This window comes from Homo sapiens, chromosome 12, assembly GCF_000001405.40.
Source record: "Homo sapiens chromosome 12, GRCh38.p14 Primary Assembly".
Lineage (NCBI taxonomy): Eukaryota > Metazoa > Chordata > Mammalia > Primates > Hominidae > Homo > Homo sapiens.
This window is the reverse complement of record NC_000012.12, coordinates 16,967,574-16,982,351: the sequence shown is the minus strand read 5'-3', so window position 1 is coordinate 16,982,351 and position 14,778 is coordinate 16,967,574. Positions and strand designations below refer to the sequence as shown.

Genomic DNA, 14,778 nt, shown 5'->3' with positions numbered 1-14,778 from the left:
CATTTAATACTAGGATATTAAAAAAAAAACAGCATATAGGGAAAATGAGAAGGTCTCCATGCATGCCCAGGGAAAGGTGCAGGCTCAGAAAACACCTCAGAAGATTTCAGGTTTACACTTCAGATTGATCCTCAGTATAAAGACAGTTGATAACAATAAAAAACATAATACAATGAAAACAAAACCAAACAAAAAACATGAAAAAGGGGAAAAATCTGATTACCAGAGTTACATTATTAGATGGAACGTACTATTTTTATCAAAAATATTACAGAGCATGCAAAAAATGAGAAACTAAGGCCCATTCAAAGGAAAAATACAAAACCTACAGAAACTGTACCTTAGAAAGACCAGCTGGCAGAACTACAAGACAGACTTTAAAATAAGTGTCTTAAAGATGCTCAAAGGTCTAAAGGATAATGTAGAGAAAGTTAAGAAAATGATGTATGGGCAAAATGAAAATATAAATAAAATGATTGGAAACCTTAAAAAAATCAAAGAGAAATTTCAGAGCTAAAATATAAAAGTACTGAAATGAAAATTTCACTAGAGGGATTCAAGGGCATATATGAACAGAAGAAAGAATCAGTGAATTTGAAGATAGGACAATTGGAAATAATAGTCTTAAGATAACAGAAAGAAAAATAATTGAATAAAAGTGAACAAAGCCTAAGCTAGCTGAGGACATCATGAAATGGACAAACAGCCACAACCCAGTAGTTGCAGAAAAGAGAAAGAGAGAGAGAAGTAGTGTCGAGGTTATTTAAAGAAATAATGGTTAAAAACTTTGAAAGTTTGATGAAAGACATGAATATAAACATTCGAGAAACTTAATGAACTCTAGGTAGAATGAATACAGAGAACCACACTGAGAAACATTACAATCAAACTATTGAAAGACAAAAAAAGAGAGAGCCTTGAAAGCAAGAAGATGAATGACTTAATAACAAACAGGATTTTCGATGAGATCATCAGCAGATTTATCACCAGAAATTTTGGAGGATGAAAGGGAGTGGGCTAATATTTTCAAAGTGCTGAAACAAAAGAAAACCCTGTGGACAAAGAATCTTATATCCAGAAAAACTATCTTTCAAAATTGACAAAAAAAAAAAACCACTAAGAAAGTTTGCTAAAGAAAACAGCTATAGAAGTTAGCTAAAGAAGTTTGTTACCACTAGATCTGTCCTGTGAGAAATGCTAAAGGGATTACTGAAGGTTGAAATAAAAATAATGCTAAACAGTAACTCAAAGTCATGTGAAGAAATAAAGATCTCAGTAAAGGTAAATGCACAGGAAACTATAAAATCTAATATTATTTTAATAATGGTTTATAACTCAATCTTTTTGGTGTGTGATTTAGGAGACTAACACATTTTAAAAATTATTAGTCTAAAAGATAGTATTATTTTACCTTTGGTTTTTAATACCACATTTTGTTTTCCACGTAATTTAAGAGACTAATGCACTAAAAATGGCAGTTTCTGTTTCTGGACACAGAGTATATGAGGATGTAATATTGTGACATTAATAACTCAAAGGAGTGAGGAGAGGGCTGTGAAGCAGAAGAAAATTTGTATGTTATTGAAGTCAAATTGGTATACATTCAAATTAGAGTGCTTTAACTTTATGATAATAAATGTTGTCTCCAGGGCAACCACAAAAAAAAATCCTTATACAACATACACAAAAGGCAATGAGAAGGAAATTAAAATCTTTTCCTATGAAAAATCAGTTAAGCAAACAGAAAAGAAGATAGTAATGCAGAAGATGCAGGACAAAAAGCTATATGGCCTGCAAGAATCAAACAGCACAATAACAGCAGTAAGACCTTTCTTATCAGTAATTACTTTGAATAGAAATAGATTCAACTCTCCAATCAAAAGAAAGTTGATAGAATTGATTTTTTAAAAACATAATCACTAGATGCTACTGTATATGGTGTCTATAAGTGATTCATTTTAGATCCAAAGGCCACAATTAAAGTGGAAGGATGTAAAAAGTTATTTCATGCCAATAGGAACTAAAGGTGAACAGAGGTGGTCATGCTAATATCAGACAGAATGGGCTTTAAATTTAAAAAGTTACAAGAGACTGAAAAAGATATCATATATTAATAAAATATTTGATACAGCAGGAAAATACAAAAATTATACACACATATATAACTAATAACAGACCATCAAAATATATGAAGAATAATTGAAAAAAAATTGAATGGAGAAATAAAACATTCTAATAAATAGTTCTAATAATAATAGTCAAAGACTTCAATCATGGACAGAATAATAATACAGATGAATAGCTCAATAAATGAACTATACCTAAGATGTAGAGACATATACAAACACTCTACCAAACAGCAACAGAAAACACATTCTTTTCAGGTGCATAAGGTATATTTTCTGATTGGATATTAGACCACAAATTCAGTCTCTATGGATTTTATTTATTTATTTATTCATTTGAGACAGAATCTCAAAAAAGACAGAGTCTATCACTCAGGCTGGAGTGCAGTGGCACCATCTCGGCTCACTGCAGCCTCTGCCTCATGGTTGTAGTGATCCTCGCCTCAGTCACTGTAATAGCTGGGATTACAGGCTTGAGCCACCACATCCATCCAATTTTTGTATTTTTAGTAGAGACAGTGTTTTGCCATATTGCCTAGGCTGGTTTCAAACTCCTGATCTCAAATGATCTGCCCGCCTCAGCCTCCCAAAGGATTGGAATTACAGGCGTGAGTCACTGCACTTGGCCTCTATAGATTTTAAAAGATTAATGTTGTACGAACTATCTACTTTTACAACTATAGGATGAAATTAGAACTGAATAATAGAAGAAAAAAATGGAAAATTTACACGTTTGGGGAAATTAAACCATAAATTTTTAAACAATCAATGGATAAAATAAATAACAAGAGAAATGAGAAAATGTTTAGATGAATGATAATGAAAACGTAACATACCAAAACTTATGAGATGCAACACAAGCAGTGCTAAGGGGGAAATTTATAGCTATACATGCTTACATTTAAAAAAGAGAACGACTGCCAACAACCTAATGTTACAACATAAGGAACTAGGAAAATAACAAAATAATCCAAAGCTAGCAAAAAAAATGAGATAACAATGATTAGAGAAAACGTAAATTAAATAGGAGATAGAAAAAATTGAAGGCAGTCAATTACTAAAATCAGAAATAAAAGTATGTAAAATAAAATATTAAAATTGTAAAAATCAGTACAAATTCTACTGAAATAAAAAAGTATTATGAAAGAGTACCATAAACAACTTATGATAAAATGTTGGATAACTTAGACAAATTGCACAAACTTCTACACATACGAAACCTACAAAAACTGAACCATGAAGAAATGGAAAACCTAAATAGACATACCTAACAGGGAGATTGAATCTGTAATTTAAAAAAATGAACCATGAAGAAATGGACCTAAACAGACATACCTAACAGGGAGATTGAATCTGTAATTTAAAAAAATGAACAGTTCTGATAATTTCACTCATGAATCCTATCAAATATTTAAAAATTAAAAAGAAGGAAATAGTAATTCATTCCATGAGGCCAACACTGTTTACATATGAGAGCCAGATAAGAACACTGCAAGAATAGAAAGAAACAAACACAAAAACAGACCAATATACCACATTAACATTGATGCAAAATTCCTCAATAAGATACTAGCAAACGAAATTCAGCAGCATATTAAAGCAATTATACATTATAGCCAAGTATGATTTATTCCTGGAATGCTGCCAGATGATTCAACATCAAAAAATCAATTATTCTAATATATCACATTAACAGGATGAATGGGAAAAACACATGGTTTTCTTAATTTATGCAGGAAAAAATTCAAAATGCTTTCATCATAAAACCTCTCAACAATCTAGGAACAGAAGGAAATTTCATCCATATAATAAAATCCATGTATAAACAACCCACAGTGATCCTCATACTCAATGATTGAAGACAAAATCATTTTCTCTAAAATCAAGAGCAAGGCAAGGATGCCTGCTTTCATCATTTCTATTTAACAGATACTGAAAATCCTAGCTAGAGCAATAATGCAAGGAAAAGAAATAAAAGTCATACAAATTAGAAATAAAGAAGTAAAATTATTTTTATTCACAGATAATATAATATGTAGAAACCCTAAATATTGCACAAAAAATTGTTAGAACTAATAAATGAATTCAGCAAAGTAGCAGAGTACAAAGCCCAAATCAATGGCATTTCTACACACTAACAATTAAAAATCTAAACAGAAAATTATGAGAACAATTTCATTCATAATCACCTTAAAAAGAATGCAATACTTGGGAATAACCAAGGACGTGAAAGACTTGTATAATAAAAACTAAAAAACACTGTTGAAAAAAAATTTTTTAAATAAGAACTGGAAATATAGCACTTTTTCATAGATTGTAAGGCTTAATATTGTTAAAGATGCCAATACTACCCAGTTATCTACAGATACAATGAAATCCCTATTAATATCCCAACAATGTTCTTTAGTTCAAAACTTAATTAAAACAGTGATACCAGAATTACAGACAGACAGATGGACTAATGGATTAGAATAAGGAGCCCAGAAATAAGTCCTCACATAACATGGTCAAAGGATTTTTAACAAGAATGCTAAGGCCATTCAATGGGGGAAAGGCCAGTTTTTTTCAGCTAATGGTGCTATAAAATTGAATATTATCTCAAAAAAATAAAGTTGGATCCTTACCTGCAACCATATACAAAATTAACTAGAAATGTATTAAACATTTAAACATAAAAGCTAAAACTAAAAATCCTAGAAAAAAACAGAAAAAATATTCATGATATTAGATGTGGCAGTGATTTCTTGATTATGACACCCAAGGCACAGGCAAGAAAAGAAAAAAAAAGTTTAAAAAGCTACATTTGTGTATCAAAGAACATGTCTATCCACAGACTGAAAAGGCAGCCTAGAGAATGGGAGAAAATATTTGCAAACCATGTATCCAATAAGGAAACAATATCTAGAATATTTAGAGAATTTCTAAAATTCAACAACAAAAAATGAAACAACCCAATTAAGAAAAGAACAAAGGACTTGACTGACATTTCTCCAAAGGTGATATACAATTTTAGTATATGTACTGCCGAAGCGAGCACCAAAGGGGATATACATATAGTCTTTTTGACACAAGAAAATATGCTCAATATCACTAATCATTAGGGAAATACATATCAATACCACAAGATACCATCTCACAGTTATTAGAATAGCTAGTATTAAAAAAAAGAAACAAAATAATAAATATTGGTGTGGATGTGGAGAAATTGGAACTCTTGTGCACTGTTAATTGGAAGGTATAATGGCTTAGAAATAACAGATGATGAAATTATAAACACTAAATAATAAACATTAAAATAACAATTTTAAAGACCCTCAATAATGTAAAGAAAACAAAATACGTGATGAAAAATTAAAGACCAAAAATTTAAACTTCAAGAGATTAAAAAACACAAAATCTGAAGTGATCAGTTCACTAGACAGACAAGGATAGATTAGATATTCAGAAATAAAGATGAATGAAGTTAAAGAATTAATGTTAGAAACTGTTTTAAATAAAGAACAGAGAGCACAAAGACTAGGAAAAAAGTCTCTATGATCTGTGAACAATTTAGGCAATTGCACCAATGTGTAATATGTATTCTAGAAAAGGACTAAGGATCATATATTTGATGATACAACTGCCAAATTGTTTGAAAACCCATATTCCTAAGAAGCTCAACAAACCCCAAGCAGAATAAAACAACAACAAAATACCAAAATATATTACAATGAAATTGCTGAAAACCAATATTTAATTGAAAAATTATAAGCACACTCAAAGAAAACATATATTTATGAATAGCAGCAATTTTCTCAACAGAAATTATGCAAACAAGAAGACAAATCATATCAACAGTGCTGAAAAAATACTGTAGATCTACAATTGCATATCTAGCCAAAATATCTTTCAAAAATAAAGGAAAATGAAAACTTTTTAAAAGGAAGGCTGGAATAATTAATGATGCAGTCTTACCTTATAAGACACGCTAAAAGAAGTGGAAATAGTGATACTAGTGGAAAATTGAATTTACACAAAGAAAGAAAAGTCCTGGAAATGGTGAAAATGGGGTTAATGTGGCATATTTAAAATCATTTTTAAATTATTTAAAGGATAATTAACTGTGCAAAGCAAAACACAGTGGTAACATTTTGCAGGATTTATAAAGAATGAAACAATACAAGGCATTAAAATGACAGCATAAATGATGAGATGGGGAAATTTCAGTATAATGTAGGGTGATATGTGAACTTGTATAATGCTATTGAAAGATGTACTCTCATAAATTAAAGGTATATGTTATAATCCCAACAGTATCCATTAAACAAAACAAGCAAAGAAAATAAAAACAAGGAGAGATAGCAAATAAGCCAATAGAGGAGATAAAATAAAATGCATAAAAATATTAATAATTTAAAAAGGGGAAAATTTACAAAAACAGATGAGAAAAACAGATGAGAAACAGCAAGATGAGATATTTAAATAAAACAGATTTATATTATATTAAATAGAGTCCAAACAAAAAAATTAAAAGAAATAAATTGTTAAACTGAATAGAAAGCAAGGCCCAATTACATGCTGTCTACAAGAAACTTGGCTTGACTACTGACAAAAATAAATTAAGAGAAAAAGAATAAAAATATTTTATTATGCAATATTTGCTCACAAGAAATGTGGAATAATTATATTGACATCTAAATAAACTTCAGAAAAAGAGATATTACCAAAGATAAGGAGGAAAATTTCATAATGATAAGGAGTCAATGCTTTGAAAGAGATAATTCTAAAAGTGTATATATTAAACAACTGAGCTCAAAAAATAGTGCAAAAATAAATAGAAATTAAAAGAGAAATAGATAAATCACAATCAGATTTGGAGAATTGAAACATCTCTCTTTCTCTCTGGAATTTTTTTTAAGTAGAAAGAAAATTACTAAGATTATAAAAACCTAGATAGCATTATAATATAACTTGATCTAATTGACATATTCAAAATACTATACCCAAAAGTAAGAGAATACTCATGTTTTCCAACTTTACATGAAACATTTACTAAGATATATTCTAAAACAGTACATAAGTCTCAAACAATATAGAAAAATTGAAAATATATAAAGTATATTCACTTATCATAATGAAATAAAAAAAAACAGTAAGGGAAAATGTTTGAAAAATCCCAGATTTACAGAACAGTCTTCTAAATATTCCATGGTGAAAGCCCCAAGAGAATAAGAAAATACTTTGTATTGACTGATAAAGAAAACACAATGTATCTCTAATTGAAGAATGCACCTAAAGTTTAGGAAAAAAATATGGCTATAAATGATTATATGGGAAAAAAGAAATTTAAATATTAATGAATTGTCTACCAAACAATTAAAGAAGAAATAATACCAATTATACACAAATTCTTCCAGGTTAAATTGGAGGGGATATTTCCCAAATTATTCTATAAGGTCCTAATTATCCTGATGCCAAAAACCAACAGTACTAAAATTAAAAAAAAAAAAAATCCCTTATACACCTAGATGTAAAATAACCTTGACAATGATTTAGCAAATTAAACTCAATAATATACAAAAAGGATAAAGACCAGGCGTGGTGGCACACGCCTGTAATCCCAGCACTTTGGGAGGCCGAGGCGAGCGGATCACCTGAGGTCGGGAGTTTGAGACCACCCTGAGCAACGTGGAGAAACCCTGTCTCTACTACAAATACAAAATTAGCCAGGCATTGTGGCTCATGCCTGTAATTCCAGCTACTCCGCAGGCTGAGGCAAGAGAATTGCTTGAACCTGGGAGGTGGAGGTTGCGGTGAGCTGAGGTTGCGGTGAGCTGAGATCGCGCCATTGCACTCCAGCCTGGGCAACAAGAGAAAAACTCCGTCTCTCAAAAAAAAAAAAAAAAAAAGGATAAAATATAAATAAGTGGGAGATTATCTCATTAATGCATGGGTGATAGCATTTAAAAATCAATCAGTGAAATTCTTCCTACTAAAAGACTAAAAAATGACAATCATCTTCATAGACATAACAAAAGCATTTGACAAAATCCATAAGACATTTATCATAAAACTCCAGCAAAGCTGGTATGAAAAGAAGCTTTCTCAACTTGATAAAAAGGTCATCTATGAAAAAATACCGTAGATATTATCATAACTAAGAATAAAATACTAAATCTGTTTTCCCTAATATCAGGAACAAGAAAAATGTCTACTTTAAGCACTTTTTTTTCAACATTGTATCAAAAACTGAAGGGTCAAAGATTTACTCCACTTGAAAGCTACTCAGCTTCTACAATTTTATTGATGATGGCAAAAGATATGAGACTCTGGGTCAGAGACAAAGAACTTTATTCCTCAAAACACAATGACCAGAATTGTTATCATCAAGATGGCTAATTAGAAGTGTTCAATGCTCTTCTTCACAAAGATAAAACAAAACAACAAATAGATAACTTCATTTTGAATGGAGTGTTTAAGAGAGAACACTGGAATTTTGCAAAGAAGTGACAAAGACTCTCTGAAACATGGAAACATAGGGTGGCATCATAGAGAGGAAAGCAAAGCACTCAGCAGGGATTGGCCCAGAGCCATTAGGGACTCCTCATTGTGGTAAATAGGTAAATGGGAGATCTCCAGCAGTCCCCATGACTAATTATTAATACCACCACAGATGCCTGCAATTCTAACTACAGAAGAGTCATACAATTTTCACGGGCCCTGAGCTTACTATACAGGGGGCCACCTGGGGCCCATATGATGAATTGCTCCAGACAGAAAACAGCTGGTTCCCCCTACTCCCCAGGACCCAAGCTGCTGTAGCATGGTATCATTTGGAGAATGGAGCCACTGCTGAAAAGCATGCTGTCCTGGGGGCTAGTAGCCCCCGCATCTCTATATCTGTGGGGCCCAGCCATCATCCCACCATGTGCACACAATAAGCTGTAACACCATGACTCCAGCTGGATCCAGCAGTATAGCTATATTCCTTGTACCTCAGCCTGTGCAACACGCTGTGTCCCCCAAACCAGGTGATCTAACATAGCAGAGAGCTGCCTCCAAAACCATAAAAACTGAAATGTGTGCTTTCCAAGGCCTCGGAGCTGGCTTCCTGGCATCTACCACCGCTAGCTAACCTACATGATTAGCTAGTGGAGCTATTTAGCAACATGCACACACTGCCTAGGGCTCAAGAACTGGCCTGTCAGGCACCTACTGTCAGTGACTTCATCTCCAGAAAAGTCACACCACTGCCTCCATAAACACCTTCAGTCTAGTCCACTAAAGTACTTGCAAATATCAATGACACTGATTACAGATGAAAAAATTACACAAAGATTACACTACTGAATCCACATAGAAGCAAATCTTAAGGAACTCACCCAACTGACACTATAGGTCACATATAGGAAAAAGTATTTCCCTACAAAGGCTGCTTCCTAAAATTGAAAGAAGCAACTGTTTCACCGGAGGCACAGATTTTAATGTTGTGACACAAGAAACATGAAAAAGCAAGGAAACAACACCCCAAAAGAACACAATAATTCCTCAGTAGTAGACCCTAAAGAAAATAATTATGAAATGCTTAAAAGAAATTCAAAATAATAATCTTAAGAAAACTCAGCAAGATATAAGAGAGTATAGATAGATAATTCACTGAAATCAGGAACACAATTCATTATCTGAATGAGATTCAACAGAGATAGATATAAAAGGAAACAAACAGAAATCTTGGAGCTGAATAATTCAATGAATGAAATTTTAAAATATAATAGTGATCTTCAACAATAGTCTAGATCAAGAAGAAAAATTTCTGACCTTGAAGGCAAGTATTCTAAAATACTCCAGTAGCCAAAAAGCAAAAAAAAAAAGAATAAAAGAAAAGTGTTCAGGACTTATGGGACATCATTAAGCCAGCAAATACTAGCATTATGAAAGGTTCAGAAAAAGAAAAGATGGAAAAAGCATAAAGAAAGTATTTAATGAGATAATAGCTAAAAAAATTCCAAAGTCTTGGGAGAAATATAGACACCTAGATCCAGAAATCTCAAAGATCCCGAAGAGATTCAACAGAAAAAGGTCCTTTCCAATGCACACTATAGTCAAACTGTCAAAAGTCAAGGAAAAAGACAGAATTCTAAAAATAGCATGAGAAAAGCATCAAGTAACACATAAGGAAATACCCACTAGATTGACAGTACATTCCTCAGCAGAAACCTTCCTGTCCAGGAGAGAAAAGGAAAATATATTAAAAGAGCTGAAAGGATAAAAAAAAAAAAGAAAAAGAAAAAGAAAAAAAACAGCCTACCAAGATTATTAGTCTCAGCAAAACTACACTTCAGAAATGAAGGAGAAATAGTCTTTTCCACACAAGCAAAATCTGAGGGTATTCATCACCACTAGACTAATCTTACAATAAATGCTTAAGGGAGTCTTAGATCTGAAAGCAAATGAAAGATAACTATCACAATTTAAACATGTGAAAATATAAAACTCACTAGTAGAGCAAATACACAAATGAGAATGAGAAATGATGCAAATGTAATTATGACAGAAAACCACCAAACCACAAAGATAAGCAATAAAAGGAGGAAAGATAAAAACAACAAGAAGACATTTTTTTAAAATTACAGCAGTAAATCCTCACCTATTAATAATAACCTTGAATGTGCATGAATTATTTTCCTCATTTAACGGTTAGGCTTACTGAATGAATTAAAAAAGCTAGATCCAACTGTATGCCTACAAGAAACTCACTTTACCTGGAAAGACAAACATAGATTTAAAGAGACAAAATGGAAAAAGCTATTCCACACAAACATAAATTTAAAATGAGCAGGATTAGTTATATTTACATGAGATAAAATAGACTTCAAGTTAAAAACTGTAAAAAGAAACAAGGAGCATCATTATATAATAATAAATGGATTAATTTAGCAAAAGTATATAGTAATTATAAATATATATATATATACACACCAAACACTGGAACACCCAGATATATAAAGCAAATAATATTCAATTAAAACAAAGAGATAGATTCCAATACAATAACAGCTAAGAACTTCAACACCCCACTCTCAGCATTGGCCAGATCATACAAACAAGAAATCAACAAAGAAATATTATATTTAAACTGCAATATAGACCAAATGGACCCAACAAACATTAACAAAATACTTCACCCAACTGCTCTAGAATACACATTCTTCTCATCAGCAAGTTAAACATTATTCAGGATAGGCCGTATATTCAGCCACAAATCAAGTCTCAACAAATTTTAAAAATTAAAAATCATATCTAGTATTTTTTTCCTGACCATAATGGAATAAGACTAAAAATCAATAACCAAGAGAAACTTTGGAAACTTTACAAACACATGGAAATTAAACCAAATACTCTGAATGACCAATGGGTCAAAGAAGAAATCAAGAAGGAAATTAAATATTTTTTGAAAAACTGAAAAGAGAAACACAGCACACCAAAACCTATGAGACACAGCAAAAGAAGTATTATGAGAGAAGTTAAAAGAGATAAATGCGTACATAAAACGGTAGAAAGACTTCAAATAAACAACCTAACAATTCACACCAAGGAAACTAGAAAATAAAAAACAAATTAAACACAAAATTAGTAGAAGAAAAGAAATAATACTGACGAGAGCAGAAATAAAATTGATACAAAAAACAGAAAAATCAATGAAATAAAAGTTGGTTTGTTGAAAAACAAAATAAAAACCTTAGCTAGACTAAGAAAGAAAAGGAAAATACTCAAAGTTAGAAATGAAGAAGGAAGCATTACATTTGAAACCACAGTAATACAAAGAATTATTAGAGACTGCTATAAACAATTATATACAACCAAATTGAAAAACCTAGAGGAAATGGGTAAGTTCCTGGGCACATAAAAACCTACTAAGATTGAATTCATTTTTGGTTTGTTTTGTTTTTCTATTTCAGGAAAATAGAAAACCTAAACAAAACAAAAAATGAGTTAGGCCACAAATCAAGTTGTCTAATGAGTATTGAGATTGAAACAACAATAAAAAGTCCCCCAACAAAGAAAAACCCAGTACTGGATGGCTTCACTGATGAAGAAAGAGGTTTAATTGACTCAGAGCTCTGCATGGCTGGGGAGGCCTCAGGAAACTTACAATCATGGCAGAAGGGGAAGCAGGCATGTCTTACATGGTGGCAGGTGAGAGAGAGCATGAGAGAGGGGACCTTCCAAACACTTATAAACCATCAGATGTCGTGAGAACTCACTCACTATCATGAGAACAACATGGGGGGACTGCCTACATGATTCAATCACCTCTCACCAGGTCCCTCTGTTATCATGTGGGGATTATGGGGATTACAATTCAAGATGAGATTTGGGTGGGTCCCAAGAGCAAATTTTAATCCAATCGACTTTTTGCTGGAATTCCACCCATAACATGTAACCAACTAGGCTGGCCTAGAGTTAGTGTTAGGAGAAAAAAGATTCATCATTCCCGGAAAATAACAGGGTGAAATTACTAATTTAAAAAATAAATACATACAACTTTCTTCCCTCTTTTTCTTGATGCTAACACAGAAAGCAGCTGAGAGGAGATGATCCCTTTCTGGAAACATGCACATTAAGTGACCCAAATACATTACTAAGATATATCAAACAGGGTTAGTTGAAGGAGGTAGACAGATTTTTTTTATTCTAATAGGTTAGAAGGTTATTTCAGTGCTTCCCAATATCAGATTCATGTTGATGGTATGAAGTGTGAAGGATCCATTAAATATCTTAACTATCAGGTCATTGTAGATATCTCTGAAAAAAATACTATTGTCAGCCGGGCACAGTGGCTCACACCTGCAATCCCAGCACTTTGGAGGGCCGAGGCAGGCGGATCACGAGGTCAGGAGATGGAGACCATCTGGCTAACACGGTGAAACGCCGTCTCTACTAAAAATACAAAAAATTAGCCAGGCGTGGTGGTGGGCGCCTGTAGTCTCAGCTACTCAGGAGACAGGCAAGAGAATGGCATGAACCCGGGAGGCGGAGCTTGCAGTGAGCTGAGATCGAGCCACTGCCCTCCAGCCTGGGCGACAGAGCAAGACTCCGTCTCAAAAAAAAAAAAAGAAAAAAAATACCATTGTCAAACAACAATTGATCTAGAAAACAAATGCATAACACAAATTAGTTTTAAGGGCTATAAACATCTGTCTATTTAGTCTTCTATTTTACTTTATAATGTTTTATAGGTTTCAATATACACATCTTAACACAACTTTGGGTACATTTGTTTCTACGTATTTTATTTTCATTTTTAATGGGATTGGTAAATTTCTTTTTCTAATTGTTCATTACTAATATTAACATAGAACTAATTTTTGCATAGTGAACTTATATTCTGTGAGCTTACTAAATTGACTCAGCCAAGAAGATTTTATGTAGATCCTTAGTGTTTGTATGTACATAATCATGTTGCCTGAAAATATGAACAGTTATACTCTTTGCACTATAAACTTTGTACCTCTTTTTCTTTTGCTTGCCTTCTTTCACTGGCTAGGATCACTAGTATAATGTTGAGGAGAGGTAATACACCATTATTGTTGTTTTCTCTCTGGTCTTAGGTATACCACTAAGATAAAAGTGTAATTTTATCTATGGTTTTGTGGGATTTTTCCTTTCTAACAACATCCATAGTCAGTTTAAGATGTTTTCCTTCTATCCCCATATTCCTATTTTGCTGAGAGGTTATTTTATTATCCTTACTTTCCTTTTTAAAATGTGAATGGGCAGAGACTTTTATTAAAATATTTATTTGGATCTTTTAAAGTCCTCTTAGGGTTTTTCTGTTTTCTCTTTTATTTTATCATGTGATGAATCACATTGTTTGATATCTTGGACTTTAAACCAGCCTTGCATTGATAGAATAAATCCACTTGTTTATTATGTATTACCTTTTACATATATCATTGACTTAAATTGGCTTAAATTTTAAAGTGATTTTCACATCTATGATTATGACAGATTTATAATTCTCTTCTCTTGTTAATTACCTCATTTTAGTATAAGGAAATACCAGCCTTGTAAATATAGTTGAAACATGTTTCCTAATCATAGTTTCTTTTTTTTTGAGGGAGGAGGTGTTTGTATTGGTAATGCTCTCTCTTAAAAGTTTGATAGAATTCATCTGTTAATCTATATAGCATTTTCTTTATGAAAGCTATAATTTCAATTTGCTTAATAGGGAAAGGAGTTTTCAAGTTTTAAATTTTTTCATTGGTCATATTTGGTAATCTGTGTGTTTCAAGAAATTTATCAATTTTAATTTTGCCATCTAATTCATTGGAATAAAGTTGGTTTATATGTCTCTGTTTTGTTATTAAAGTCTGTAGAATCTGTAATATGACCACTCATTTTGTCCTGATATTAGTAATTTATACTTCCCCCTGTATTCTTGGCAATCTACCTACAGGCATATACATTTTATTAATCTTTTCTAAGAGCCTGCTTTAGGGTTCATTGATATTCTTTATTTTTAACTTTTTTAATCTCATTGAATTATACTCATCTTTATTATTTTCTTCCTTCTACTTACTTTAAACTTTGATTTTTTTTTCTAATTTCCTAAGGAAGAGTTTCAATCATTGATTTTAAATTGTTCTTATTTTATTTCATTTAACAGTAT

At 32.0% G+C, this 14,778-nt stretch overlaps 1 long non-coding RNA gene across 1 annotated transcript in view; it reads left to right on the top strand.

Moving 5' to 3' along the window:
- The window catches only part of LOC105369677 (uncharacterized), a 200,713-nt gene that overhangs the window by 6,282 nt on the left and 179,653 nt on the right, over window positions 1-14,778 (top strand). The gene's annotated exons all lie outside the window — the stretch shown is intronic.